This window comes from Homo sapiens, chromosome 8 (assembly GCF_000001405.40).
Source record: "Homo sapiens chromosome 8, GRCh38.p14 Primary Assembly".
Lineage (NCBI taxonomy): Eukaryota > Metazoa > Chordata > Mammalia > Primates > Hominidae > Homo > Homo sapiens.
The window spans coordinates 8058428-8086337 of NC_000008.11; the positions used below are offsets into that span (position 1 = coordinate 8058428).

The window sequence follows — 27910 nt, forward strand, 5'->3', positions numbered from 1 at the left end:
GCCCACCTGCATTGTCTCTGTGCCTCAGCCCCAGCTGGGGGCCTGCAAGGATCCTCTATCTCCTCTGCCCCTGCACGGCTGGGTCCCAGGCAATCTGTCTGCCCACAACACCTCTCTCCTGTTGCCCACCACGCTCCAGCCCCACAGTCCTCTTTCTGCTTCTTTCCCAGCCTCTGGGCTTTTGCACACGCTATTCCTTCTGCCTGAACACCCTCCACTGGGCTGAGAACAACTCTCTGAGACCTCTCTCAGCTGTTGCTTCCTTTGGAAAAGCCGCTGCTGCTGTCCCTCTCCCAGCTCAAAGACCTGCTGAGCCTCCTGTCTTTTTCAGTTCCCATGCCCCCAGCACTTCTCCTTGGCCTCCTTTGGCCCAATTGACAATGTCCATTCTCAATGCCTTCCCACCCAGCGCTGAGCCCCACTTGGTGAAGGCAATGCCTGTCATGTTCACCACAATATCCCCTCCCCCATCACCACGACTGGTCCACAGTGATGCTCAAAAAAGATCTGTTGGTAGGCAATGCGAAGGTGCATTCATGTCATCCTGCAGGCGGAATTCTCCACGAGTTTTGAGCAGCCTCGGGTTTCCCACCACCTCCAAATCATGGAAGACACAGGGTAAGAGCAAAGACAAGGTGGCTGTGGCCGATGTCCACCCTCTCGTGGCGTCCCTTCTCTTCTCTCCTCCTTGAGCAGGGAGACCATCGGGGTGCAACCTGGCTGGGGCGGGGAGGTGGTGCAGGGCATTGCCAGAGCGGGCCTGTCCATGGGCAAGGGACAGCGACCTCCTGGGCCAGGACATGTGACAGCTGCGCAGGCCTGGGCCCGGCGTGGCAGAGGTGCGCGAGAGCGGCCAGAAGAGGGCGCCAGAGAGCCAGGCGCGGCCCGCGGAGGAGCCCGGGCCGGCCCCGATACCCAGCTCCGCGCCGCGCGGACCCACCGAGCCCGTGCTCAGACGCCCCAGCTCCGCCGAGAAGCCGCTTGAGCCGGGTCCTTCTTCTTCCCCAAGTTCAGGCAGAGCCCCCGGAGCCATGGCCAGCCCTTCCAGCAGCTCCGAAGCCACTGGCAAGCCCCGAGGCAGGGATGGCAGTCCCAGGATGGGGGAGGACGTCCCTCCCGAAGAGAAGAGGCTGGGGCTGTAGCTGGAGGGGGGAAGCGCACAGCCCGAGGACTGCGAGGACGGGGAGGACCCGCCGCTGCCGGGCAGGAAGGAGACCGGCACCCAGACAGGTGGCGACGGCAAAGGAGTAAGTGATGCGGGCGCGGGGGTCCGGGAGTGCCGGGGGCTCGGGGGTGCCGGGGACGCGACGAAGGGGCGTCGGGAGGCTCCGTGGCCGTCCCCGGGTTGAAGTTGGGAGTGCAGCCTTCATTCTGAACCCATTTAGGCAGCATGGGCAGCCCTCCTCGCCATGGGCAGAATCAGAGCCCCCCCGCCCAGTCTTGGGGTTGCTCCTGGATGCTGTCTGGGAGGCTGGCTCATGGTGACATCCTCATCTCCCCGTCCACGTTACCGCATTCAGAGCTTGGGTCACCTGGACACTGAACTCAGGTGAATTTTCTCTGAGATCCCGGGAGAAGGAGGACAGTTGTTTGGAAGGTTTTCCAGGGCCGATCACGGAAAGGATGAGAAGGGAGAGGTCCTGGTCGGGGACACAATTATGGTGGCAGTGTAACGCCGGGAAACTTTATTGCATGAAGTCCCTCTCACTCCCTCTACCTCCCTCTTTTACGTGGATTCTGCCAAAGACCAGGATACCAGAATGCGGTGGAGTGACCAAGTGTAGTGAGACCTTGGGAATGTGATTCTGGAGCCAGGCGGCTGGGGTTTGCATCCTGGTTCTGCCCCTCCTTAGCTGGCTGACATGGCACAAGCCACTTACCCTCTCTGAGCCTTACTGTCTTCAGTGGCAAATGGATCTGTCAACAGGCCCCATTGCCTGGGGTTGTTGCTGCTGAGATTAAGGGAAGCTCGTCCATAGAAGCACTTAGCGTTGTGCCTGGCACATAGTGTATGGTGGATAAGTGGGACTTAGTACTAAAACTCATGCCTTGGTGTCTTTTTGCAGTGATGTTTTGTTCTGGAGTACGTCACAAGAGACAAGGTTCTTGGCTGGGCATGGTGGTTCAAGCCAATAATCCCAGCACTTTGAGAGGCCGAAGGGGGAGGATCGCTTGAGCCCAGGAGTTTAAGACCAGCCTGGGCAACATGGTGAAGCCTCATATCTACCAAAAAAAAAAAAAAGAAAAAAAAAAAAAAAAGGCAGTTATGGTGGTGTGTGCCTGCAGTCCCAAGTACTTGGGAGGCTGAGGTGGGAGGATTGCTAGAGCCTGGAAGGTTGGGTTGCAGTGAGCTGTGATCATGCCACTGCACTCCAGCCTGGGTGACAAAGTGAGACCGTTTCAAGGAAAAGAGAGAGAGAGAGACAGACAGACCCACAAGAGTCTTAAGCCAGAATCTCCATGTTAAAATGCTTTCTGGAGGCTAAAAGGATGATATGTTGATAATGAAATGTTTAAAAGGCAGAAACCCCACTGAATTGTTTGGTCCACAGAGGGAAATGGGAATAGCATGACCTGAAGGATGATGGAGGAACTGAACAGAAACCATCCTTGTTTCCTGAATCTGAACATGGCACGCTCTTTTCACGGTGCCTGTATCTGCTCAGTCCGGCAGCCCCTTGAAAAGAGGGAATCCTGATTTTCAAACTTAAAATTTGGCCCAAAGCTCACTGCTGCCCACAATGCCCGCCAGACACATTCCTCTTCCCTTTTAGTTCCTATGGGAATACTCTCTTTGAAGAACCCATGAAGCAGTGTCAGGCTGGTACGAGGATCAGCAGTGATTTCTTTGAGGAGGAGAGCCCGTTTCTTCACTCACAGGCCGTGTCTGAGTGGATCAAGAAGAACAGAGTGCCCTTTTATGAGATTTTGTCTGCGTAGACCACTAGCTTGGTAAAAATGTCAAAACCATCCTCGTTCTTTAATAACAGATTATTTTGGACTTTTCTCTGCAAGAAGCAGCATGGGCATTCAGATGCTTTTAAGGATAAAATGTTCTTTCTCATCACCAGGCCTGGTGCTCTGGATGGCTGAGGTTTTAATGTGACTGGATGTCCCTTGGAGTGGCTCCCAGGCTGTGCTCTTGTGGTTGGGTGGCAAGGGGTTGCTTTATTCGGTGGTGGCTAGAGGATGTTTTAGCAGATTAATCGGGACCCCAGGAGCCCTTGAGTGTCAAGTCCTGCTGCAGGGCATGTGTTTATGGTGGGGAGGTGGGGGAGGGTGGAGGGGGGGACATTGATTTCCTCCCAATATCAGAAGTTTCACAGGCTTCTTGTTTATCCACAAACACCCACCCCATTGAGAAGGCCTAGAAAATCTGCCCCTCCTCAAGCCTTTATTGACCGCTTGTGAATGATCCCAGGGTGTGTCTGACCCACAGCTCCTCATGGAGGGAGAGAAAAGTCTCTCCTAGGTATTTGGTTGTCCACCTCAACCACTTGCTGAGTCTTCCGCAAGACCAGGCACCTCGGCAGAGATTTCTGGGTTGTCAGGCAGAACCGAGCATTCAAGGGTGATAACTCACTGGAGTCCCTGAAATCCCTGATGGACGCACCAGGTAAAAGCATCCAGGGTTGAAACCAGATCAGGAAGGTTATTGTCAGCCTGGGGCTCCTGTAGAGGTGCATCCACGTTGCAGGGATTTTCCTTCTTGCTGAGGAGAAACCTGGGTTTCTCAGCTTTGGCACAGTCAGAATATTTGTGGTGAGACCATTCGTGGTGCTGGTGGTGGGGCTGTCCTGTGTATTGAAGGATGGTTAGCAGCATCTGTGGTCTCCATCCTCTAGGTGCCATTCTACCCTCCCTGCTATGGCTACCCCAGACGTCTCCAGATGGTTTCAAATAATGTGGGGCAAGGGAGCGGTACGTGAGCAAAACCACCCCAGTTGAGAGCCATTGGTCCACACTTGTATAAATGTTTGAGGGTGAGAGTGTCGAGCTTGGGTCCCTGCTGTACCCTTTATGAGCAATGCGGTCTTGTAAAATTAATACTACTCCAGGGGCCTCAGTTTTCTCATCTATAAAATGGAGATAAATGAGATACACTTTGATAGGAAGGTTATATGGGATTCACCGAGATAATAAGACAGTACATGGAAAATGCTGCGCATAGCATTTATTTATTTTAATTTTTTTTTAAGACAGAGTCTTACTCTGTTGCCCAGGTTGGAGTGCAGTGGCATGATCTCCGCTCACTGCAATCTCCACCTCCTGGGTTCAAGTGATTCTCCTGCCTCAGGCTACCGAGTAACTGGGACTACAGGCGCGCGCCATCATGCCCATTTAATTTTTGAATTTTTAGTAGAGACGGGGCTTCACCATGTTGGCCAGGATAGTCCGATCTCTTGACCTCGTGATCTGCCCGCCTCGGCCTTCCCAAGTGCTGGGATTACAGGCGTGAGCCACCGTGCCTGGCCAAACATAAACTTACTTTCTTACCTCTTCTGCTGAACTCTATTTACTTCTTTTCCCATACGTCTTTATCCAGAAGAGCTTTTAGCAACAAAGTTACCCAATGCCCTTCCCTAGTCTCTCCTTGCAACTGGCTCTCAGCAGGGGGTGGGAGGAAATTCTTGACAGAACCAATTTACATGACTGTTTTGGGGACCCATTCTAGTCCCAGGAGGTGTTTGCACTTTTAAATTGGTTACTAGTGTCAGAATGTTTCATGAGTAAGAGCCCAGCCTCTATGTCGGATGCCCTGAATTTGAATCTCAGCATTGCCGCTTTGTATATAACCAGAGGATGGATTTGGGGACCCAATGGACCTACCGTGACATGAACTTGCACCAACATTCACCTGACCTCCAAAATGCCTATTCTGACTGGTAGAACCTAGTCTCGCCCTAGTGCCAGTTCAGAGCCTGTGTCCAGTGATCCTGCACAGGTCTCATTAGTTCCTTTTCTCCTGTTCATTCATCCTGGTGAAAGGCTGTGTATTCCCTTGGGGGCAGGTTGGGAGAAAGACTGACAGTATAAATTTTTGGCAGTGGAGCAGAGTCCTTTCTGGAGGGGACCTGGCTTCTCATTCAGACAAGGGACTCCAGGTCTGTGAACTGGCTTATGTCTGGAAATTGACTGGGGATTGTGACTCTGTTTTTATGATTCAGATTAGACTTCTGCTCACTTGACCTAGAGCTCTTCTGCAAACACAGATCAAGTGAAATGTGGCAGGCTTCTTATCTATTTCACTTCTAGGAAAGCCACGATCAGCAGGCACCATAGGTCGCTGGGAGTCAGGCTATTCTGGTTGCAGCTTTGACTCTGCTGTCTTTTATGATAACTGCATCTACCTTGCCTTTGGGGATTGAGTGCTCTGATCACTTGGCCCCAGCCCCTGTAGTGTGCGTATGTCACTTACCCTCTTTATACCTCAGTCTCCTCCTCTATAAAATGGGCATCCTCATTGCACCCACCCCCAGGGCTGCTGTGAGGTATAGATGGATTAGCATATGGAAAGTAATAGAAGAGGGTCTCAAAGTCCATGTGTCGTTATCAGAATTATTTCATGATGGGGAGAGCTGGAGGAGAGAGGAAGGTGCTGAGCAGACCCACGTGCTCTCCCACCAGTGTTTCCTGAGCACCTACTATGTGCTGCCCACTGTGAGAGCTGTTAGGGTTGAAATAGGGAGCACAGCAGGGTAGGGGCTGCCATCAGGAGCTTAGTGGGGAGACCATTGTGCAACCTGGTTCCAGCGCTTGGGGTGGGGAAGCTCAGGGAGTTCAGGGGCCTAGGATCCAGGGCAGAATCATGGAAAGGACATAACCTCCCCAGCCTCTCCTGCCTCCATTGCCTCCCTGGCCTCCTCTGCTTCCCTGGCCTTTCCTACCTTCCTGGCTTCCCCTTCCACCCCGGCCTCCCCAGTCTCCCCTGTCTTTCCTGCTTTTGAGGTGGGCCAGGAGCTGCTAGTGCTCACTTAGCCTGTCCTGGGCTCTTGGTGTAGCACCTCAATGTCCAGAAAATACCCCCGAGTTCAGCTCATCACACAGTCAAGGAAGGAGCTCCACACTGACACTAAGGGTGCATCCTGGGCTCATTCATCAGGGCATGCCTCCAAAATATTTCTCCACGTCTCCTCCCTTTGCCCACCTGCATTGTCTCTGTGCCTGAGCCCCGGCTGGGGGCCTGCAAGGATCCCCTATCTCCTCTGCCCCTGCACAGCTGGGTCCCAGTCAATCTGTCTGCCCACCACACCTTCCTCCCCTTGCCCACCATGCTCCAACCCCACAGTCCTCTTTCTGCTTCTTTCCCAGCCTCTGGGCTTTTGCACACGCTGTTCCCTCTGCCTGAACACCCTCCACTGGGCTGAGAACAACTCTCCGAGACCTCTCTCAGCTGTTGCTTCCTTTGGAACAGCCGCTGCTGCTGTCACTTTCCCAGCTCCAAGACCTGCTGAGCCTCCTGTCTTTTTCAGTTCCCATGCCCCCAGCACTTCTCCTTGGCCTCCTTTGGCCCAATTGACAATGTCCATTCTCAATGCCTTCCCACCCAGCGCTGAGCCCCACTGGGTGAAGGCAATGCCTGTCATGTTCTCCACAATATCCCCTCCCCCATCACCACACCTGGTCCACAGTGATGCTCAAAAAAGGTCTGTTGGTAGGCAATGGGAAGGTGCATTCATGTCATCCTGCAGGCGGAATTCTCCACGAGTTTTGAGCAGCCTCGGGTTTCCCACCACCTCCAAATCATGGAAGATACACGGTAAGAGCAAAGACAAGGTGGCTGTGGCCGATGTCCACCCTCTCGGGGCTTCCCTTCTCTTCTCTCCTCCTTGGGCAGGGAGACCATCGGGGTGCAACCTGGCTGGGGTGGGGAGGAGGTGCAGGGCCTGGCCAGAGCGGGTCTGGCCACAGGCAGGGGACAGCGACTGCCTGGGCGGGGGCAGGTGAGTGCAGCGCAGGCCAGGGCCCGGCTTGTCCGCGGTGCGCGCGAGCGGCCAGCAGAGGGCGCGAGAGCCAGGAGCGGCCCGCGTAGGAGCCCGCGCCGGCCGCTATGCCCAGCCCCGCGCCCGGCGGACCCACCGAGCCCGCGCTCAGACGCCCCAGCTCCGCCGAGAGGCCGCTCGCGCCGTATCCTTCCTCTTCTCCAGGTGCAGGCAGAGCCCCCCAGCCGTGGCCAGCCCTTCCGGCAGCTCCGAAGCCACTGGCAAGCCCCGAGGCAGGGATGGCCGGCCCAGGAGGGAGGAGGACGACGTCCCTCCCGAAGAGAAGAGGCTGCGGCTGTAGCTGGAGGGGGGAAGCGCAGAACCCGAGGACTGCGAGGACGGGGAGGACGCGCCGCGGCCAGGCAGGGAGGAGACCGGCACCCAGACAGGTGGCGAAGGCAGAGGAGTAAGTGACGCGGGCGCCGGGGTCCGGGGGTGCCGGGGGCGCCGGTAGGGGCGGCGGGAGGCTCAGTGGCCGGCCTCGGGTTGAAGTTGGTATTTTAGCGGCAACTCCGAAGGGCGCGGAGTGACAGCGCGTGACGGCCTCCGAGACGCCAGCTGCCGCTTCTCGGCTGTGTGGCTTTGACTTCCTGATTCTCCCACGACGTCCCTGGCTGGGAGACCCGCTGGACTCTGCGGCTGGCCAAAAAGAGAGGGGCAGCCCCGCGTCCTGGGGGCCCCTAGCAGGGGAAGTGGCGGTTGTTGCGCTGGGCATCCTGTCTGGGGCATCTGTCTGGGACCCTGTCGGTGCCTCTCACCTGGCGAGGGGCCTGTGGTGGGGTAGGGGGGAAGTCCCTGGCGCCAGGCTTGGCCAAGCCCTGCTCTGCTGGACTGCGGGCTGGCGGCACTCACCCAGCTCCTCACCCGTCCCGCATCTTCCTGTTTTTCTTCCCTTTCTGGTTGGGCAGCAAGAGTTGAGAGGAGGCAGATGGCTTCCATCCCAGAAATCGCTCTCCTCTTTCCATCCCTACAGAGAGGGACAGAGAGGCAAAGTTCCTTGCATCCCCGGGGCGCTGTCCCTGTGAGCTCCTGGTGTCCTGCAAACGTTGGCCCCTGAATCACCGGGCCAGTGTGTGTGGGATGGGGCTGCGTAGCCAGGCTGGCCTCCTGGGGTTCACTTTCGGCTTTCCTACCCCAACTCTTCCTGTGTGGCTTTGCTGGCCTTCCACTGGGGAGGCATGTGGGTTTGGAGGGCAGATGAGGGCCCGCTGGAGAACTGTACCCCTCAGTGAGGGCCGCCACCTTGATGGTTTTTAATGGATAATGGGGTTGACCTCTTTGTTCCTTCCACATGTTTTTATGTTTGACCATTTGCTCAGCTGAGCTTGTCTTAATAATTGGATTCATGGTTAATGAGCCCCACATGGGAGAGAGGGCGGTCTTCATTCTGAACCCATTTAGGCAGCATGGGCAGCCCTCCTCGCCGTGGGCGGCATCAGAGCCCCCCTGCCCAGTCTTGGGGTTGCTCCTGGATGCTGTCTGGGAGGCTTGCTCATGGTGACATCCTCATCTCCCCGTCCACGTTACCGCATTCAGAGCTTGGGTCACCTGGACACTGAACTCAGGTGAATTTTCTCTGAGATCCCGGGAGAAGGAGGACAGTTCTTTGGAAGGTTTTCCAGGGCCGATCACGGAAAGGATGAGAAGGGAGAGGTCCTGGTTGGGGACACAATTACGGTGGCAGTGTAACGCCGGGAAACTTTATTGCATGAAGTCCCTCTCACTCCCTCTACCTCCCTCTTTTACGTGGACTCTGCCAAAGACCAGGATACCAGAATGCGGTGGAGTGACCAACTGTAGTGAGACCTTTGGAACGCGATTCTGGAGCCAGGCGGCTGGGGTTTGCATCCTGGTTCTGCCCCTCCTTAGCTGGCTGACATGGCACAAGCCACTTACCCTCTCTGAGCCTTACTGTCTTCAGTGGCAAATGGATCTGTCAACAGGCTCCATTGCCTGGGGTTGTTGCTGCTGAGATTAAGGGAAGCTCGTCCATAGAAGCACTTAGCGTTGTGCCTGGCACATAGTGTATGGTGGATAAGTGGGACTTAGGACTAAAACTCATGCCTTGGTGTGTTTTTCAGTGATGTTTTGTTCTGGAGTACGTCACAAGAGACAAGGTCCTTGGCTGGGCATGGTGGCTGAAGCCAATAATCCCAGCACTTTGAGAGGCCGAAAGGGGGGGATCACTTGAGCCCAGGAGTTTAAGACCAGCCTGGGCAACATGGTGAAGCCTCATATCTACCAAAAAAAAAAAAAAAAAAAAAAAAAAAAAAAAAAAAAAAAAAAAAAAAAGGCAGTTATGGTGGTGAGTGCCTGCAGTCTCAAGTACTTGGGAGGCTGAGGTGGGAGGATTGCTAGAGCCTAGAAGGTCAGGCTGCAGTGAGCTGTGATCATGCCACTGCACTCCAGCCTGGGTGACAAAGTGAGACCGTTTCAAGGAAAAGAGAGAGAGACAGACCCACAAAAGTCTTAAGCCAGAATCTCCATGTTAAAATGCTTTCTGGAGGCTAAAAGGATGATATGTTGATAATGAAATGTTTAAAAGGCAGAAACCCCACTGAATTGTTTGGTCCACAGAGGGAAATGGGAATCGCATGACCTGAAGGATGATGGAGGAACTGAACAGAAACCATCCTTGTTTCCTGAATCTGAACATGGCACGCTCTTTTCACGGTGCCTGTATCTGCTCAGTCCGGCGGCCCCTTGAAAAGAGGGAATCTTGATTTTCAAACTTAAAATTTGGCCCAAAGCCCACTGCTGCCCACAATGCCCGCCAGACACATTCCTCTTCCCTTTTAGTTCCTATGGGAATACTCTCTTTGAAGAACCCATGAAGCAGTGTCAGGCTGGTACGAGGATCAGCAGTGATTTCTTTGAGGAGGAGAGCCCGTTTCTTCACTCACAGGCCATGTCTGAGTGGATCAAGAAGAACAGAGTGCCCTTTTATGAGATTTTGTCTGCGTAGACCACTAGCTTGGTAAAAATGTCAAAACCATCCTCGTTCTTTAATAACAGATTATTTTGGACTTTTCTCTGCAAGAAGCAGCATGGGCATTCAGATGCTTTTAAGGATAAAATGTTCTTTCTCATCACCAGGCCTGGTGCTCTGGATGGCTGAGGTTTTAATGTGACTTGGTGTCCCTTAGAGTGGCTCCCAGGCAGTGCTCTTGTGGTTGGGTGGCAAGGGGTTGCTTTATTCGGTGGTGGCTAGAGGATGTTTTAGCAGATAAATCGGGACCCCAGGAGCCCCTGAGTGTCAAGTCCTGCTGCAGGGCATGTGTTTATGGTGGGGAGGTGGGGGTGGGGGTGGAGGATGGGGGCATTGATTTCCTGCCAATATCAGAAGTTTCACAGGCTTCTTGTGTATCCACAAACACCCACCCCATTGAGAAGGCCTAGAAAATCTGCCCCTCCCCAAGCCTTTATTGACCGCTTGTGAATGATCTCAGGGTGTGTCTGACCCACAGCTCCTTCTGGAGACAGAGAAAAGTCTCTCCTAGGTATTTGGTTGTCAACCTCAACTGCTTGCTGAGCCTTCCCCAAGACCAGGCACCTTGGCAGAGATTTCTGGGTTGTCAGGCAGAACCGAGCATTCGAGGGTGATAACTCACTGGAGTCCCTGAAATCCCTGATGGACGCACCAGGTAAAAGCATCCAGGGTTGAAACCAGATCAGGAAGGTTATTGTCAGCCTGGGGCTCCTGTAGAGGTGCATCCACGTTGCAGGTATTTTCCTTCTTGCTGAGGAGAAACCTGGATTTCTCAGCTTTGGCACAGTCACAACATTTGGGGTGAGACCATTCGTGGTGGTGGTGGGGGGGCATCCTGTGTATTGTAGGACGGTTAGCAGCATCTGTGGTCTCCATCCTCTAGGTGCCATTCTACCCTCCCAGCTATGGCTACCCCAGATGTCTCCAGATGGTTTCAATGCTGTGGGGCAAGGGAGTGGTACGTGAGGAAAACCACCACAGTTGAGAGCCATTGGTCTACACTTGTGGAAATGTTTGAGGGTGAGAGTGTCGAGCTTGGGTCCCTGCTGTACCCTTTATGAGCAATGCTGTCTTGGAAAATTAATACTACTCCAGGGGCCTCAGTTTTCTCATCTATAAAATGGAGATAAATGAGATACACTTTCATAGGAAGGTTATATGGGATTTACTGAGATAATAAGACAGTACATGGAAAATACTGGGCATAGCCTTTATTTATTTAATTTTTTTTTAAGACAGAGTCTTACTCTGTTGCCCAGGCTGGAGTACAGTGGCATGATCTCTGCTCACTGCAACCTCCACGTCCTGGGCTCAAGTGATTCTCCTGCCTCAGCCTCCAGAGTAGCTGGGATTACAGGTGCCCACCACCACACCTGGCTAATTTTTGTATTTTTAGTAGAGATGGGGTTTCACCATGTTGGGCAGGCTGATCTCAAACTTCTGACCTCAGGTGATCCGCCTGCCTCGGCCTCCCAAGTTGCTGAGATCACAGGTGTGAGCCAGCACACTGGGCTTGTCATCGCATTGTAACACAGACAAAGCACAAAATACTTGGACAATATATTTTTACATTTGGCTTGTCTAGACTCCATCCTCCATCCCCTCGTGCACTGGTGTGGTGCAGACCAGAATATCGCCCTCCTAGACTGCAGAGTGGATTTGGGTGGCATCTTGGCTTTCTGCACAAGACTTGCCTGCTCCCCACCACATCCCCCTGGTTCTCAGGGTCCAGGATTCCAGGAGGCCGGGATGTGGGTAGACAGGTCAGGTGGCCCACCCAGTTCACTCTCACACTGGGGACCTGCAGAGCCAGCTCCCTGAGACAGGGTGTTTTGACCAACATCTGGGTTTTTGGATTTCCATTTGAGCACAGCTGGACTACACAGGCTGAAGTTCTCTGCCGAGATATAGATATTTCCCTGGCGATGATCTTTCAAGTTGACATGAAGACATGGCCACCCGCTGGAACATCGTGGGTCTGCCGTGGCGCTCTTGTAATTTGTGAGGCAGGCTCCTGATGAATGCAGTGAGTAAGTGGGAAATGGTAGGATGTTCTCCCATCCTCCCCTTGCCGAAAGTGCTGCCTGCGCAGGTTGGTGGACGGTCCTTTGAGCAGGAAGAAGACACGGAGCACATTCCTGTTAGCTACGACAGAGAGGGGCAGGGTACACACTGGACATTTCAAGCCCCTGTAGAGAAGCAAGTCTTACTGTGCTGGGAGTACTTGTGGAGTGGGGGCTGTGTTGCCCTGGGCTTTAATTATTTCAGGAACATTTAACCACAGGGCCAGCAGGCTGGATCCTGATATGTGTTTCTCAGTTGGAAAGATTTTGGACCATAGAGAAATGTCTTCTCAATTCTTTTAATTTCATTAAGGTGGTCATTTTTCTTCTTGTGGCCTCTGGAATGTGACACAGAACTCAAGGGACAGGAAGGAGATGAGTTGGAGGCTGGGACAGGGGTCCCTGCCAGGGATGCTGGTGACTCACGTGACGGTGTTGATGTGTGGAGTCCGGTGCCTGGTTTGGGGAATGTTCGTGGGATATGTTCCAAAGGACTGACGGACCTATCAGGTACTGGAGGTGAATGGTCAAGTCTGATCTCAGGGCTGACAGTGTCAGGCAAGGACAGGAAGTTGGCATTGGTCTCATTGGCTGAGGTTGCTGGGGACCCAGGGGGCAATGTGTGCCAGGACAGATGGGTCTGGGGCTAGGAAGGCAGGTTTGGGCTGGCGACCCGGGCTTGGGAGGCATCCCAGGTAGACAGTGGTTGAGGCTGTGGAAATGACGGCGATTGCCTGGGATGAGAGTGGAGACAGACAAGATGGGGGTTTTGCTTTAAGCCTGGGGAGCCCACCTCCCAGGTTCAAGCGATTCTCCTGCCTCAGTTTCCCAAGTAGCTGGGAATGCAGGTGCGTGCCACCATGCCTGACTAACTTTTGTATTCTTAGTAGAGATGAGGTTTGACCAGGCTGGTCTCAAACTCCTGACCTCAAGTGATCGGCCCACCTTGGCCTCCCAAAGTGCTGGGATTACAGACATGAGCCACCATGCCTGACCATTTTTAAATATTAATTTTTATGCAATATTTTCAAACACATTTTACTGTACATTGGAAAAGTCAATCATGATTTGAAAACTTTATAAAAATCCAATCAAATATCAATTAACCATTTAATTGTGGATAAGTAAGGAGACTATTTTGACCAAAACATGTTAGAACAATTACCACTTATAGAAATAATCTGTGTTTTAATGTTTTAGTTGAATTAAACAATCTTTTATATTCTGTCCAGGTGCAGTGGTTCACACCTGTAATCCCAGCACTTTGGGAGGCCGAGGCTGGCGGATCACCTAAGGTCAGGAGTTCGAGACCAGCCTGGTCAACATGGCAAAACTGTCTCTACTAAAAATACAGAAATTAGCCAGGTGTGATGGCACACACCTGCAATCCCAGCTACTTGGGAGGCTGAGGCAGGAGAATCGTTTGCACCTGGGAGACAGAGGTTGCAGTCAGCCGAGATTGAACCACTGTACTTCAGCCAGCCTGGGTGACAGAGCGAGACTCTGTTTCAAAAATAAATAAATAAATAAAATAGAATTCTGAATTTTATTTTTAATAATTATTTTTGTAAAGAGAATGTCTTGTTTTTTGGAGTTGTTGAATTTATTGAATTGGCAAAAATTATGTACAAGAGGGTATACAACATGATGTGATTGAGGTATGTATACATTATGAAATGGCTAAATCAAGCTAAATAACATATCACCTCCCAGACTTACTTTTAGGGGTGAGAACACTTAAACAATCTACTCTCTTAGTGATTTCCAAGTGTATGATATGTTGTTATTAACTATAGGTACCTTGTTGTCCCATGGATCTCCTGAACTTATTCTTCTCTAAAAATGACATTCTGTGTCCTTTGGCATCTGCCCACTTCCCCACCCTGGCAACCATCATTCTATTCTGCTTCTGTGAATTCAACTTTTTTCTTCTCTTTTTTTTTTTTCTTTTTTTTGAGAAAATCTCCTTCTATTGCCCAGGCTGTAGTGCAGGGTTGTGATCATGGCTCACTGCAGCCTTGAGGTCCCAAGTTCAATCAATCCTTCCACCTCAGCCTCCTGAGTATCTGGGAGTACAGGCATGCACTACCATGCTCCACTAATTTTTGTATTTTTTGTAGAGATGGGGTATTGCTATGTTATGCAGGCTGGTCTCGAACTCCTGGGCTCAAGCAATCTGCTGGTCTCAGCCTCCCAAAGTGCTGTGATTACAGGCGTGAGCCACCATGCCTGGCCGAGTTCAACTTTTTTAGATTCCACATGTAAGTGAGATCATGTGGTATTTGTCGTTCTGTGCCTGGCTTATTTCACTTAACATAATATCCTCCAGGCTCATCCACGTTGTCTCAAATGGCAGGATTTCCTTCTTTTTGAAGGCTGAATAGTATTACATTGTGTACATACACCACATTGTTGCTGGAAGTTTAATGGAGGCCAGTTGGGGGAGGATGGGGAGAAGATTCACTCTAAGTCTAGATGCTCCAGTACCCACCCAGGATGTGTGCAAGGAAGTGCAGGATGCTCCTGGTCTTGCAAACTGTGGTTTGTGGGACTCCAAAGCCCCTATCCTTCCACGATGCTTTCTGTCCTGTTATCACATTTCCTTGGAGGAGAACCCAGCCTTGGTGGAGAGCCCTGCTCTGGCTTTGTCCCTTGGCATGAGATGGCAAAGGATGGTGCCGCTGGGAGACCCTCACATCTGCACACTGGGGGCTGTTTGCCTTCTCCATTCCTCCTTCAAGTATCTGAGCAGCTCCTGTGTGCCAGCTGCTGGTCTACAAGATGGATGGGTCCTTGGAGATCACCCTGTAGCAGAGGAGGCAGGCTATAGCCCACAGGCCAGAACCAGCCCCCTGCCTGTTCACACAAATAAAGTTTTATTGGAACACAGCCACACCCATTTCAGTGCCTATTGTCTGTGGCTGCTTTCCTGCTACAATGGAGAGTTGAATATTTGGGACAGAGACCTATGGCCTGCAAAGCTGAACTATTTACCATCTGGCCCTGGAGAGAAAGGAAAAAAATGCTGATCCTTGTACCCCGACAGTCTTAGGTTAAGAGGACTTCGTACCACTCTGACGTCCCAGGCGGCCATGAGTCCAGCCACCCTTGAAATGTACACAAGTCTGGGCTGAGGTTGCAGCAGGTGAGGCCCAATTTTGCAGGTCTTTGGTATCAGGGGCACAACCCAGGATTTTGTGTGGGGTTTCTTCCTCACTGTGGCTGGGCACTGGGCAAGGGTGCTTTCTGATTTTTGTATGGGGAAGAGAAAGGAGGGAGGAAATGGCAACTTGTTGCCCTGTTCTAACATTTTCCTAAGATGGGTCTCGAGGCCAGGGCTTGGGATCTCACCTTGCACAGCTTACAAAACCCAGTGAGGCCGGCTGTCTTGGCGCTGCCACTCTGAGGGATGGAGCCCGCAAATGACTAGGAAGGGAGATAAAAGAATGGTTTCTGCAAGCACAAGAAGTGGCGTTATTGAAATTAACATTTCCCCCAAGTTTTACAATGTCTAGGCATGCATATTTAAGTGTCTGCCTCAAAAGCTCATGCTAATAAGGAGATGGTGCATTTAATTTCCTTTTTTTGTTCTCTGAGCAACATGCAGCTTCCTGCACAGCCCTCCTTGCAGGCAACTGCACTGAGGTGACAGTCCTCCTGACTGCCAGCACAGATCCCCAGGGCCTCTGAGGGCCCTGTATTCTGGGGGCAGTCTTTCACTTTCTATTCGGCCCCAGCTGGAAGGGGGCAGTTTAACCACAGCCCAGCACAGGTCTCCCGCCTTAGCTTCTCTAAGGAGTCTGGCTCCCTCTGACCCTCTAGACCTCACCAGCTGAGGATCAGAGCCCCGGGGCAGGAGCCAGGGCCAGGGGGCATTGGGGGTGGTTTGAGAGTGCAGCTCTGGAGGGGGGCAGTGCGGGCCCAGGAAAAGCTGCTCAGGGGAGACTGCAAAGAGATGGCAGAGTTAGGACAAGAGGGTCGGGCATGGTGGCTCACATCTGTAATCCCAGCACTTTGGGAGGCCGAGGTGGGCGGATCACCTGAGGCCAGGAGTTTGAGACCAGACTGGCCAATATGGTGAAAACCTGTCTCTACTAAAAATACAATAATTAGCCGGACATGGTGACACCTATAATCCCAGCTACTCGGGAAGCTGAGCCACGAGAATTGCTTGAACCCGGAAGGTGGAGGTTGTAGTGAGCTGAGATTGTGCCACTGTACTCCAGCCTGGGCAACAGAGCAAGATTCCATCTCAAAAAAAAAAAAAAAAAAAAATAGGACAGGAGGAGGAGGGAAGAGAAGGGAGCTGTGCGGCAGCGGCCAGGACCTTAAAGGCACAGAAGAGGAAGCTTGGATTTCCAATTCCAAAGGACATGAGGAAAATTCACACACCTTTATTTAACCTGCTCCTGGTGAGGCTGGGCTTTGTGTATTTTCCTTGTTTTCCTTTTCCTTGTATTCAGGCTGTTGTAGAAACAGGTACACAGGGGCTCTGTGTGGCGCCCTGTTCTAGTTGCCTTCAGGAAGCATGGGGTGCCCTGGTTTCCTTGGCTTCGTGTCCCCCTTTCCTCCTGCCACCCCTGACTGTGCCCCCCACCTTGTCCCTCAGAACATCTTCCTGGAAGGGCCTGGCCAGGGCTTGTGTCCTTGCTAGTCTCTGGGGAGGAAGACTCTGTGGCTTGAAAGGCTGTCGGCTTAAGTTGCAAGATGTAGGTGCCTGGGAGGGCATGTGCACGGCCCTCTTGACTGATCCATTCATGTTTTCCTTTTTTGACTCTGTTCTATGTTGTCCTGATGGAGGGGTAAGCCCCTGCCTTCTGCCTTTCCTGCCTTGGACTCTTGCAATTGGGCCAGATGAGAGGGTCCATGTGGTCTGAGAATTCAAGCAATGCAGGCCAGGCGTGGTGGCTCACACCTGTAATCCCAGGACTTTTGGAGGCTAAGGTGGGCAGGCCAGGAGTTTGAGACCAGGTGGCCAAAATAGTGAAACCCTGTATCTACAAAAAATACAAAAGTTAGTCGGGCTTGGTGGTGCATGCCTGTAATCCTAGTTATTTGGGAGGCTGAGGCAAGAGAATCCCTTGAACCCAGAAGGAGCAGGTTGCAGTGAGGAGCAGGTTGCAATGAGGAGGAGGTTGCAGTGAGGAGGAGGTTGTAGTGAAGAGCAGGTTGCAGTGAGGAGGAGGTTGCAGTGAGGAGGAGGTCGCAGTAAGGAGGAGGTTGCAGTGAGGAGGAGGTCGCAGTAAGGAGGAGGTTGCAGTGAGGAGGAGGTTGCAGTGAGGAGCAGGTTGCAGTGAGTAGGAGGTTGCAGTGAGGAGGAGGTTGCAGTGAGGAGGAGGTCGCAGTGAGGAGGAGGTCGCAGTGAGGAGGAGGTCGCAGTGAGGAGGAGGTTGCACTGAGGAGGAGGTTGTAGTGAGGAGGAGGTTGTGGTGAGGAGGAGGTTGCAGTGAGCCGAGATTGTGTCCCTGGACTCCAGACTGGGCAATAGAGCGAGACTATGTCTCCAGAAAAAAAAAAAAAAAAAAAAAAAATTTATATAGAAAACAGAAAGCAAAACTACCTCTTGATTTGCTTTTCTTGATCTTGCATCTCAGAGGTAACACTGGGAAGGGTTGGGTTATACCTCTCCCCACCTTTTTCTTTGATTTCTTTTTATTTTTTATTCTACGTTCTGAGATACATGTGCAGAATGTGCAGGTTTCTTACATAGATATACATGTGTCATGGTGGTTTGCTGCATCTATCAACCCGTCAACTAGGTTTTAAGCCCCGCATGCATTAGGTATTTGTCCTAACGCTCTCCCTCGCCTTGTCCCCCACCCTCGATGGGCCCCGGTGTGTGATGTTCCCCTCCCTGTGTCCATGTGTTCTCATTGTTCAACTCCCACTTATGAGTGAGAACACACCGTGTTTGGTTTTCTGTTTCTGTCCACAGCTTTTTCCTCTGTGCACACAAGCACATGTATTTGCACATAAGTATTTATTGTAATATTTTTAAAAAAGTAAAAATGCAATAATGCTATATTTATTCTTTGGAAAGCCTGCTTTTCAGGCAGCATGTCTTTGACATTGTCTCACGTTGGAACCTGGGTACCACCTTCTTCTCCCTGCAGTTATTCTGACCTGTGGATGCACCACGCTTCGTTTAACCAGCCCTGCACCGATACGTCTTTGGAGGGTTTCCGCCTTTTCCCAGTCACAGACGGTGTTCTGATGAATTTCCTTACACACATCACTTGGTGCTCTGTGCCTGCATTTCTGTGAGATGTTCCTGGAAGTGGGCTGTCTAGGTCAGAGGGGGATCTGTGCTCAATTTGCATCCTGTGCAAAACTCCATCCGGTCATCCAGCTTCCCAAGGGCTCACATGGTACTGTCCTCTGTAGACATCATCTTCTGCAGATGATGGCATGACAGCCCCTCTTTCTTTTACTCACACCAGTTTGCACCCTGGTGTCCTGGGGGTTCCAGCCCCTACCTGCTTGTCTGCCTCCACCCCACAGTGCCCCCAGCCCCTGCTAACAGGGACTCTGGCTTCTGAGCTCTGGCAGACTGCCTCACTCTGGAGAAGTTTGCTTTCTCAAACATTCCTGGCAATGTTACTGCAAATCTCGAGGCCTGCATTTGCCTTCTTCAGGCCTCAGTTTCCTCAAAAGTAAAATGGGGATAATGTGATGCTACTGTCTGCATCCTAGAGCTGCCATGAGGGTTCAGTGAGATCACTGTTGAGAGCACGTTCACAGCGCCGGCCTTGTGCGCAGTCAGCACGTGTGGGGCAGGGCTGTTGCTGATACGTGGTTGACTGTCATTGCTAGACTGTGGCTTTACCAGGGTCAGTGTCTTTAGTGCTGAGCCCAGAGCCACCCCTAGTACCTGCTGTGTTTATAGAGTGATTGAGTGGCAGGGTCAGAGACTGGGGCAATGGCAGCAGAAACAGAGGAAAGAAGTGGGGCTTCTAATAGTTCCTGCACCAGTGGCCCTTGAGATGAAGCCTTCTTGCCAAGGTCTGGGGCTGTGCTGTGTGTTCTAGGCCCGAGACTGGAAGCTAGGCCTGGCTACAGCCCCAGCTGACCTGGGGAAGTGCATGTCAGCATCCTGCTTCATTAGGACACCTCCAAGCCCAGCTTAGACCTGGATTCCAGGTGACCCCCTGTTTACTCTGAGCCCAGACAGAGGACAGAGAAGTGTGCAAGGGTGGGGACCCTCATCACAGCCCTTGACTCTGTAAGGCATATGGGTTTGTGCACGTGTGTGAGCACGGCCGTGGCTTCTCTGTGAGTTTCAAGCTCGAGGTTGTGTTTATGCAGGGTTAGGCTTGCCAGGTAAAATACAGGAGGTCCAATTAAACCTGAACTTCTCATTAACCTTTTTTTTTTTTTTTTTTTTTTTTTGGTGCAAATATATCCCATGCAATATTTGGGACCTGCTTACCCTAAAAAATGATTTGTTGTTTATCTGAAATTCAAGTTAAGCTGGCATCCTGTCTTTTCACTTGCTACGTATGAGAGTTCCGTGTGGGGGTTATCAGTGTGCATTTGTGAGTTCCCATGTGAAGGACTCTCTCCAAGTGTCTGTAGGTGTCAGGATGGAGATGGACAGAGAAGGTCCTCTTGGGCTGCTTTAGTGGCACCTAGAGGCTGTGGGGTTGGACACTTCAGCCCCAGGGGCCTGGGCAGCACTGTCCAGCACGTGCCTGCTCCTGTCTTCTCCACGGGGGCTGACTTCCCTGCCATCTCTCTCCAAATACGGTGGCAAGAGCTATCCCATCTGCCCCCATCTGGAGCTCGGCGTCCCAGCCAGACAAGATGGCAAACAGTGTGCAGAGGGTTGCAAAGCTTTCCCCAGCTCCTTCTGCAAGGGGCCTGCAGATGAAAGGAAAGCCCTCATCCTCACCGCCTCCCGCTTCCAGAAAACCCAGGCAACAGCCACCTCTGAATGCTGCTTTAGAAGCTTCTCCCTCCTGGTGATTAAACCACCACAAACAAATAAAGCACTGCATTTCCACCATAGACTTGTTCACATGCACGCAGCCAGTTGTCTTGGATCCGCCCCTGTGCCTGATTCATCAGGGTGAGGGGTTCTCCTCTGAGGTGCTTGCAAAGAGCTGCCTAATTTTCATGTGAAAGACTCTTTGTAGAAACCAGGCCCAGCTTTGGAAGAAAGCCCTTTCTCCCCCTTTAGCAAATTCGATGTCATTTTTTTTTTTTTCTTTTTTGAGACGGAGATTCACTTTTGTTGCCCAGGCTGGAGTGCAATGATGCAATCTCAGTTCACTGCAGTCTCTGCCTCCTTGGTTCAAGCGATTCTCCTGCCTCAGCCTCCTGAGTAGCTGGGACTACAGGCACCCACAACCACACCCAGCTAATTTTTTTTTTTTTTTTTTTTTTTTTGTATTTTTAGTAGAGAGGGAGTTTCACCATGTTGGCCAGGTTGGTCTTGAACTCCTGACCTCAGGTGATCCACCTCGGCCCCCAAAGTGCTGGGATTACAGGCATGAGCCACCACGCCTGGCTGGAATTCTGTGTCATTCTGGATAGTTATCATGACTTCAAGCATCCAGGACTCTGTCCTGGGTATCCTGAGCCTGAGGGTGTATGTGTGTCCAGCTGGCTTGGAGGTTGTCTACAGACAGGTTGAACTTGGCCTCTGAGTGCATGGCAGCCTCAAGTGGGAAATACCACCAAGGAGCCTCATCGTGTGCTTTTAGGAGATAGTTTCTATTTAGTCATTGCTGAATCTGTTACAGACAGGGTCTCGATTTCTTGCAAGTCCTGTATGAGGTCGGTGCTGTGATTATCCACATTTTCACTTGCTCTCTCTGGCCTCTTTCAGGCTCTTGCACTTCCTTTGTTCTTTTCCTGCCACAGGGTCTTTGCACATCCTGCTCTTTCCGCCTGGAAAAATTTTCCCTCTCCCTGCTTCTTCACCTGGTCACGGTCTCATCTGACAGTGGAGTCACTACATCCTCAGGGACGTCTGGCCACACTGACTCAGTCCCAGTAACCCCCTGTTATCTGCTTTCATGACACCAGGTGCCTCTCTGTGGTAGACACTAGCTCAGCTATGGCTTCCTATTTCTGTGCGTGTCATCCTTCCCCTTCAAGACTGTGGTCACCATAAGGGCCAGGGACATGCCTGTTCTGATTCTCATTTGTGTCTCTGGTGTTTAGTATATGCTCACCTAGAATTTGATTAATGAATGACAACATACCCATTTTACAGATGAGAAAGTTGAGGCTTGGGAACATTATGTAACTTGCTCGGTATTAGATAGTGATGGTTTGTAGCCATCTGGCCAGTCGCTGGGTGCACACTCTTAACCACTTTACTATGGTTCTTCTCTCATGGTAGCTCTCCAACAGCAGGAGTGAGAGACAACTTTAGGATAGGTGTAACTAGAATCTCAGGGCTTATCCTAGAAGGTGTTGTCAGGAACATACTTGCCTATGGGCCTTCTTACTGTATTGCATAAAATACCCAGTTTTTCTGACTCACCCTTAGTAAAGACCTTAGCAATATTTGAAGCACAGTTGTCAGTAGGAAAGGGTGGATGTTTATACTTTTTTAAAAAGGAGGCTATATCATATTTATCTTGTGGTCTACCATGCCCCCCGATCTTCTTCAGCTTCAGTTATGCAAAATTCACACTTGTTCTCTTGACTGCCTCTCTCTTACCTGTTCAGTTTCTTTTCTGTGATCGAGATTGCTTAGAATTTTTCCCCATTACTACAGTCTGCTTCCCAACTGCATCCCCCACCCAGCTTGTTCTGGATTTTGTCAACAACAGTTCCAGCGTTTAGTGAGGGCTGGACTGAGGGAGAGCCTTGGAAAAGGCTGTGTGATGAAAGCTGAAGACACCTAATGGGCAGGCCGTCATCAGGGTTAATTCAAAGGCTGGAAGAAGGGCTGACCTGGAGGACTGGAAATGTCTTTGAGCTGAAGGTCATGTGCAGGTGGAACGAAGAGGGTGAGCATTTTGGGGTGAACTGCAAGTATTTGATAATATCCCTGTCCCCATTGTTGGGGAAGTCTTGATAAGCATCCTCAATGTGATGGAGGGATGAAGGAATCCGTGGCTCTACCTGCCCAGCATGACAGTAATATGACACAGCCAAGTTATTGATTATTGGTTGCCCAGCTGTCATCAGCTCAACATCTTCTGTTAGTTATAGCTGCAATTTGCATTAGTTATCAATGCCAGTTTTGACTTTCCTAGTCAATAAAGTGTTCTGAGAGTGGTGACTAAGGCTGAGCACTACCTATAATCATGAGTATTACAGAGGCAAGCCCCCTTGCCCACCTACCTGCAGGTGATGAGACACCCTAGGGAAATCACTCAATTCTTTGGAGGACCCCGAATAAATGCCCAAGTCCATCTGTTCATCTGTCCATCCATCCATCCACCCTTCCTTCCTTCCATCCGTCCATCCATCCATCCATCCATCCAGAGATGCATACATCCAACCACCCACCCATCTATCTACCCACCCACCCATCTATCCATCCAACCCACTGTCTTATGCACCCAGCTATCATCCACCTACCCACCCACCAACCCATCTGTCCATCCGCTCACCCATGCATCTATCCACCCATTCACTCATCTAACCATCTATCCACCCACCCATCCATCCATTTATCCCTTCAACCCCTCACCCACTCATCCATTTCTCCACCCACTCAGCCATCACTTCACTGACTCAACCATCCATTCATTCGTCCACCTGCCCACCCACCCATTATCCATCCATCCTCCTATGTATCCATCCATCTGTTGTCCTTCTGTTCATTTATGCCACAAAGACTCGTTAACCACCTGCTAGATTCTGGGGAGGTACCTGCTCTAGTAATGGAGAACATGGTCTCTGGAATATGATTCCCTGGGCTCAAACTGAGCTGCCTCCTAGTTAGCTGCTTGGGTAAGTTATAGAAACTGTGCTTTGACTTTCTTATCTGAAAATTGGCTATTAATACCTTCTACTTTTGCAGATATAGTGAGGATTAAATAAGATGTCACATTAAAAGTGCATCATCGGCACTCAATAGAAATTAGGTTTTACCATTCATTATTATTCTTGGCAGATGCTGCAGACAACATGGAGAGCATATGAAAGACACATGTTTGAACAAATAGTGACATACAGGTGCTACGTTCTGCAGTAGGGGAAGGTCAGAGAGCCATGGAGAGGGCCTAGCCCAATCCTGGAGCCTCAGAAAAATGTTCCCCGTTGAATTCCTGTTTTAGCTGAGACTTGTGGGATGGATAATAGTTGGAGATCCCAGACAGGATGTGACCGAGTTAGCCAGGGAAAAATTGGGTCCTGGCACCCATGGCAGAATTGATTGATCAGTTCTTCTGTCTCCTGTGTTTGGAAGTCCACTAGGTCTGGGAATGTCAAGTTGGGGGAGGGCGCTGACAATGATCATGACCTTCACCTGTCCTCACATGTCCTCTGTGTATCTGCAAAGCCTCTGCCTCAGTCTCCTCTTTTGGAAAGTGGGATTGGAAACCACATCTACTTCTCTCCCAGGACTGCTAGGAAGACAAGATTAGATGGCAGGTGAGAGCTCTTTGAAAATGAAAACATTCTACTATTTGAGTGCAAAGTGTTCTTCTTTGCCTGTGATGTTTCCTAATCTGTGAAATCATACTGGACCTCGAAGCTGTCTATTAAAAAAATAGCAAAGTGGCTGGGCATGGTGGCTCATGCCTATAGTAGTTCTAGCACTTTGAGAGGCTGAGGAGGGTGGATCATTTGAGGCCAGGAGTTCGATACCAGCCTGGCCAATATGCGAAACCACATCTCTACTAAAAATACAAAAATTAGCCAGGTGTGGTGGCATCTGCCTGTAGTCCCAGCTACTCGGGAGGCTGAGGCACAAGAATCATTTGAGCTCAGGAGGCAGAGGTTGCAGTGAGCCAAAATTGCACCACTGCACTGCAGCCTGGGAAACAGAGTGAGGCTCTGTCTGAAAAAAGAAAAAAAAAAGCAAAGTTAACACTTCCTCCATCTCTCCCCTGGGGGAGGCAATTTGTCAAAGATTGTTGTTGGATTTTACACACAGGGAAATCTAAGGAAGGTGTGGAAATCAGACCAAGACTCCATACTCTGGTCTCTCTGTTTGCAGGGTCTTAAAACGGGGAGCCACTTTGGGTTCTTTCTACAAGATTGCTTTTATAAAAACAAACAAACAAACAAAAAACTCAAAAAAAAAAAAGCCCTGACCTAAATATTCACAAGGGACCTTAGGCAATATCTGCTAACAAAAGTGAGTGAGGAGTGGAATCTGTCATCTTTACAACTAAGACAGCTCCAGAGTTGAAGCAAGTGGAAATATCTCTAGAGACAGAGACTTGGGCGGGTTTTGCCACTTACAAGCTATGAGAACCTGGGCAGGTTTACATCTCTGAGCTTCTGTGACCTTGTAAAATAGGCTGCATTGCGCTAAACTTGCAGGAGGAATCCCAGCATCCTCCTGTGCACAAGGCTGGTTTCTTCCCATCCTTTTCCTTGTTCTGCCTCTCTCCTCCTCTCCAAGAGATGAATACATTTGGAGCCAGTAGGGGTCTATGTTTGCAAAAACTCGCAGGTGATTCTCATGCAGCCAGCCTGGCTCTGGCACTGAGTTCTTGGACACTTCTGGAGGCACATTTACTAGTGAGGAAGGTCACTGTGTGCTGAAGGCATGATTCATCTTCCATTCCTTTCTTCCATGAAGCAAGACGCATGGGTCGACTGAGCTGGGAGAGTCCACGGTGTCAGCCTCCCCCATGCTTCCCTCCCTCCTTATTCCTTGTGTGCTGTACTTTGTCTTGATTTCCTGTACTCTGCACCAAGCCAGGAGATGGTAAGATCTCAAAAAAATGATTTTTTTGGGAAATGGGATCAAGACGGTTTTTGTTTGCTTGCTTGTTTGTTTGAGACAGGGTCTGTCGCCCAGGCTGAAGTGCAGTGGCGTGACCTTGGCTCACTGCAGCCTTGACCTTCTGGGCTCGGGTGATCCTCCCACCTCAACCTCCTGAGTAGCTGGGACTGCAGGTGCACACCACCATGCCTGACTAATTTGTCTATTTTTTGTAGAGATGAGGTTTCACCATGTTGCCTAGGCTGGTCTCAAACTGCTGGGCTCAAGCAGTCCTCCATCCACCTCAGCCTCCCAAAGTGCTGAGATTACAGGCATGAGCTGCTGTGCCTGGCCGAGGTTTTTTTTTTTTTTTTTTATTGTTATTACGAAAACTTTTCAATAAACATAAAAGTAGAGACACCAGTTTAATGAGCTATCATATACCCATCACATAGATTTAAAAACTATTAACATTTGCAATATTTACTCCATTTGTTTTTCTGAAGTATTTACAAAATAGTTTACAGTAGTTATTTAATTGCATCCTGATATTCACCCCTACATAATTTACTTTCCCTCTAAAAACATGAGGGCATTTTTTATATGATCATTGTCATACCTAATCAAATTAGCAGTAATTCCTTAATATCCTCTAAGATCAAGTTTACATTCAGATGTCTTGTCCTCAAAATGTCAATTGTGATTATTTTTTTCTTTGACCAAAGATAGTAAGATCTCAAGATTTAATGACAGAGATTCCATGTTAGCCCTGATGTCTAAGTTCTGTGGTCCATTGTGGCTTTACTTGAAAGTCTGACGCTAGGCGTGGTGGTTCACATCTGTAATCCCAGCACTTTGGGAGGCCAAGGTAGGCGGATCATAAGGTCAAGAGATCAAGACCATCCTGACCAACATGGTGAAACCCTGTCTCTGTTAAAAATACAAAAATTAGCCAGGTGTGGTGGCGGGTGCCTATAGTCCCAGCTACTCGGGAGGCTGAGGCAGGAGAATCACTTGAACCCGGGAGGCGGAAGTTGCAGTGAGCTGAGATTGCACCACTGGAGGCCAGCCTGGGTGGAAAGAACGAGACTCTGGAAAAAAAAAATAAAGTCTGTCACTGTGGTCTCATAATAAAAGGACACTCCATTTCCTATCTGGCCCCTGCTCCTTAATGTTAGCCCCCTCCTGTTGGGAGGAGGGGGTGACTTTCAGCGCAGGTTCAAACATTCCCAGGGCTGGCTCTGATCTCACTAAAGCCCATCGTCATGAATGAATGCTTCCCTTGCAGGTTATTCTAAGTATTGTAAAGAGTGCACGTGGAGTGTCCTCATGATGCCTGGAATGGTAGTGAATATTTATAGGTTTCTTTTAGTGCCTTTTTTTTTTAGTGTTTTCTATACTTCCATGTTTCTACAACCCTTAGGAACATCAGAATCATGTGTGTGTGGGTGCTTATTAAATAAACCAGTTCCTGAAGCTCACTCCCAGTGACTGCCAGTCTGATGATTAGGGGCTTAGCTAGGACCTAGGTTTGCAAAAGCTCCCAGCTGATCTCATGCAGCCAGCCTGGCTCTGGCTCTGGCGCTGGGAGCTGGGTTGGGAACTAGTCTTTGGTGCTATTCTGCTGATACTTCAAGTTGGGCTCTTTGACTCTGTCTTGTATTGTCATCACTTGTATTCAGGTCTGTTCTTCCCCTGGATTGTAAACTCCTTGATGTCTGGGTCATCTCAGCTCATGAGCTGAGCTTTCAGTGGGTGCTCAGTGGAACAGGTGCTGAATGGAGTCAGGCTGTAGGGAGGCCAGCGTGTGTTGGTAAGTGAGAGACAAAAATCATTTTAAAAAGAAACTTTTTGCCCTTCAGTTGTGTTTGCCATGAGTTAATGTGATTTACTCTAGTGGAAGGCAGTGCAGCTTAAGTGGAGGTCTTGCCCTGAAATGGAGCCAGGTTATGGATCAGCAGAGCTGCCAAAAGCGTTTTGGGGGAAATGTTTCTGTGTCACCCTCAGTTGATTGAACTCAAGTTTTCACTCCCGTTTAACACCACGTGGGGGCCATTCTGACTTCTTCAGAGTGGGTATGATCAGATCTTCTGTAAAAGTGTACGTGAGGGGGCTGGGCACGGTGGCTCACACCTGTAATCTTAGCACTAGGGAGGCTGAGGTAGGTGGATCACTTGAGGCTGAGAGTTTGAGAAAAGCCTGGACTACATGATGAAACCTCATCTCTACTAAAAAATACAAAAATTAGCCAGGCATGATGGTGCATGCCTGTAATGCCAGCTATTCAGGAGGCCGAGGCAGGAGAGTCACTTGAACCTGGGAGGTGGAGGTTGCAGTGAGCTGAGGTTGCACCTCTGCACAGCATTCCAGCCTGGGTGACAGAGCGAGACTCTGTCTCAAAAAAAAAAAAAAAAAAAGTGTACGTGAGAAAACTGGAATTGAGCTTGAGGATGTTGGGGGATGGAGTTACTTCATTTACTGAACAACAAAATCCATAGGATACCAATGCTGGAGGAAGAAGCATCATCCTCAGTTTCTACTAACTCAACCACGCATGAGATGGGGATTTGGTGGCCGAGAGAAAAGCTTCTTTTTAGGTCTTGAACCTTGATCAAACCATTTCTGAATTCCTCATACACATATAATCAGGTGCTATGAGTGGTACTGATTGGATAATCTTTCTGTCGTTTCCTGTGCTAGGAAGGAAAATACATGTACAGCCAACTTCCTTGAGGGTTCGTTCTTTTGCATCAGGGTGTCTCAAACTGCTGCCCTTAAAACACCTGTAAGAGAAGCATCCAGGGGGCTTGCTCGGTCTGCATGCAGGCCCTTTAGAATCAGAGTCAGAATCCCTGGGGCTGGAGCCACAAAATGACATGACATTTCAACGAGTTTGTCATCATGTGAGAGAGAATAGGTGAGTATTTGAATACCTATAATACAAAGTAGATTGAAAAAGAATGACTTGATTATTTTAAATGTTGTGTTTTTAAAAATTTAATACAGAAAAGGCTGGGCACGGTGGCTCATG

At 50.3% G+C, this 27910-nt stretch overlaps 1 long non-coding RNA gene and 2 pseudogenes across 3 annotated transcripts, besides 2 other annotated features; all 3 read left to right on the top strand.

The window, feature by feature from the left end:
• The window catches only part of LOC124901865 (translation initiation factor IF-2-like), a 451468-nt pseudogene extending 444704 nt beyond the window's left edge, over nucleotides 1-6764 (top strand).
• LOC105379220 (translation initiation factor IF-2-like) lies at nucleotides 6768-27884 on the top strand (annotated as a pseudogene).
• Nucleotides 6828-7737: an enhancer, noted in NCBI's record as "H3K27ac-H3K4me1 hESC enhancer chr8:7922777-7923686 (GRCh37/hg19 assembly coordinates)". NCBI's record gives its function as "activates a minimal SCP1, AML or CMV promoter by ChIP-STARR-seq in naive H9 embryonic stem cells {active_cell/tissue: H9 hESC(naive)}" and the evidence as "EXISTENCE:reporter gene assay evidence [ECO:0000049][PMID:30033119]".
• Nucleotides 7738-8645: an enhancer, noted in NCBI's record as "H3K27ac-H3K4me1 hESC enhancer chr8:7923687-7924594 (GRCh37/hg19 assembly coordinates)". NCBI's record gives its function as "activates a minimal SCP1, AML or CMV promoter by ChIP-STARR-seq in naive and primed H9 embryonic stem cells {active_cell/tissue: H9 hESC(naive and primed)}" and the evidence as "EXISTENCE:reporter gene assay evidence [ECO:0000049][PMID:30033119]".
• On the top strand, nucleotides 10420-12896 carry LOC124900617 (uncharacterized). Of its 3 annotated transcripts, none has more exons than XR_007060796.1 (3): nucleotides 10420-10992; nucleotides 11846-12002; nucleotides 12349-12896. It is a non-coding gene; the product is annotated as an uncharacterized LOC124900617 (long non-coding RNA). The 3 variants fall into 3 exon arrangements; XR_007060798.1 differs by having other exon boundaries at nucleotides 11846-11998; XR_007060797.1 differs by having other exon boundaries at nucleotides 10420-10930.
• Nucleotides 27885-27910: the final 26 nt, after the last annotated feature.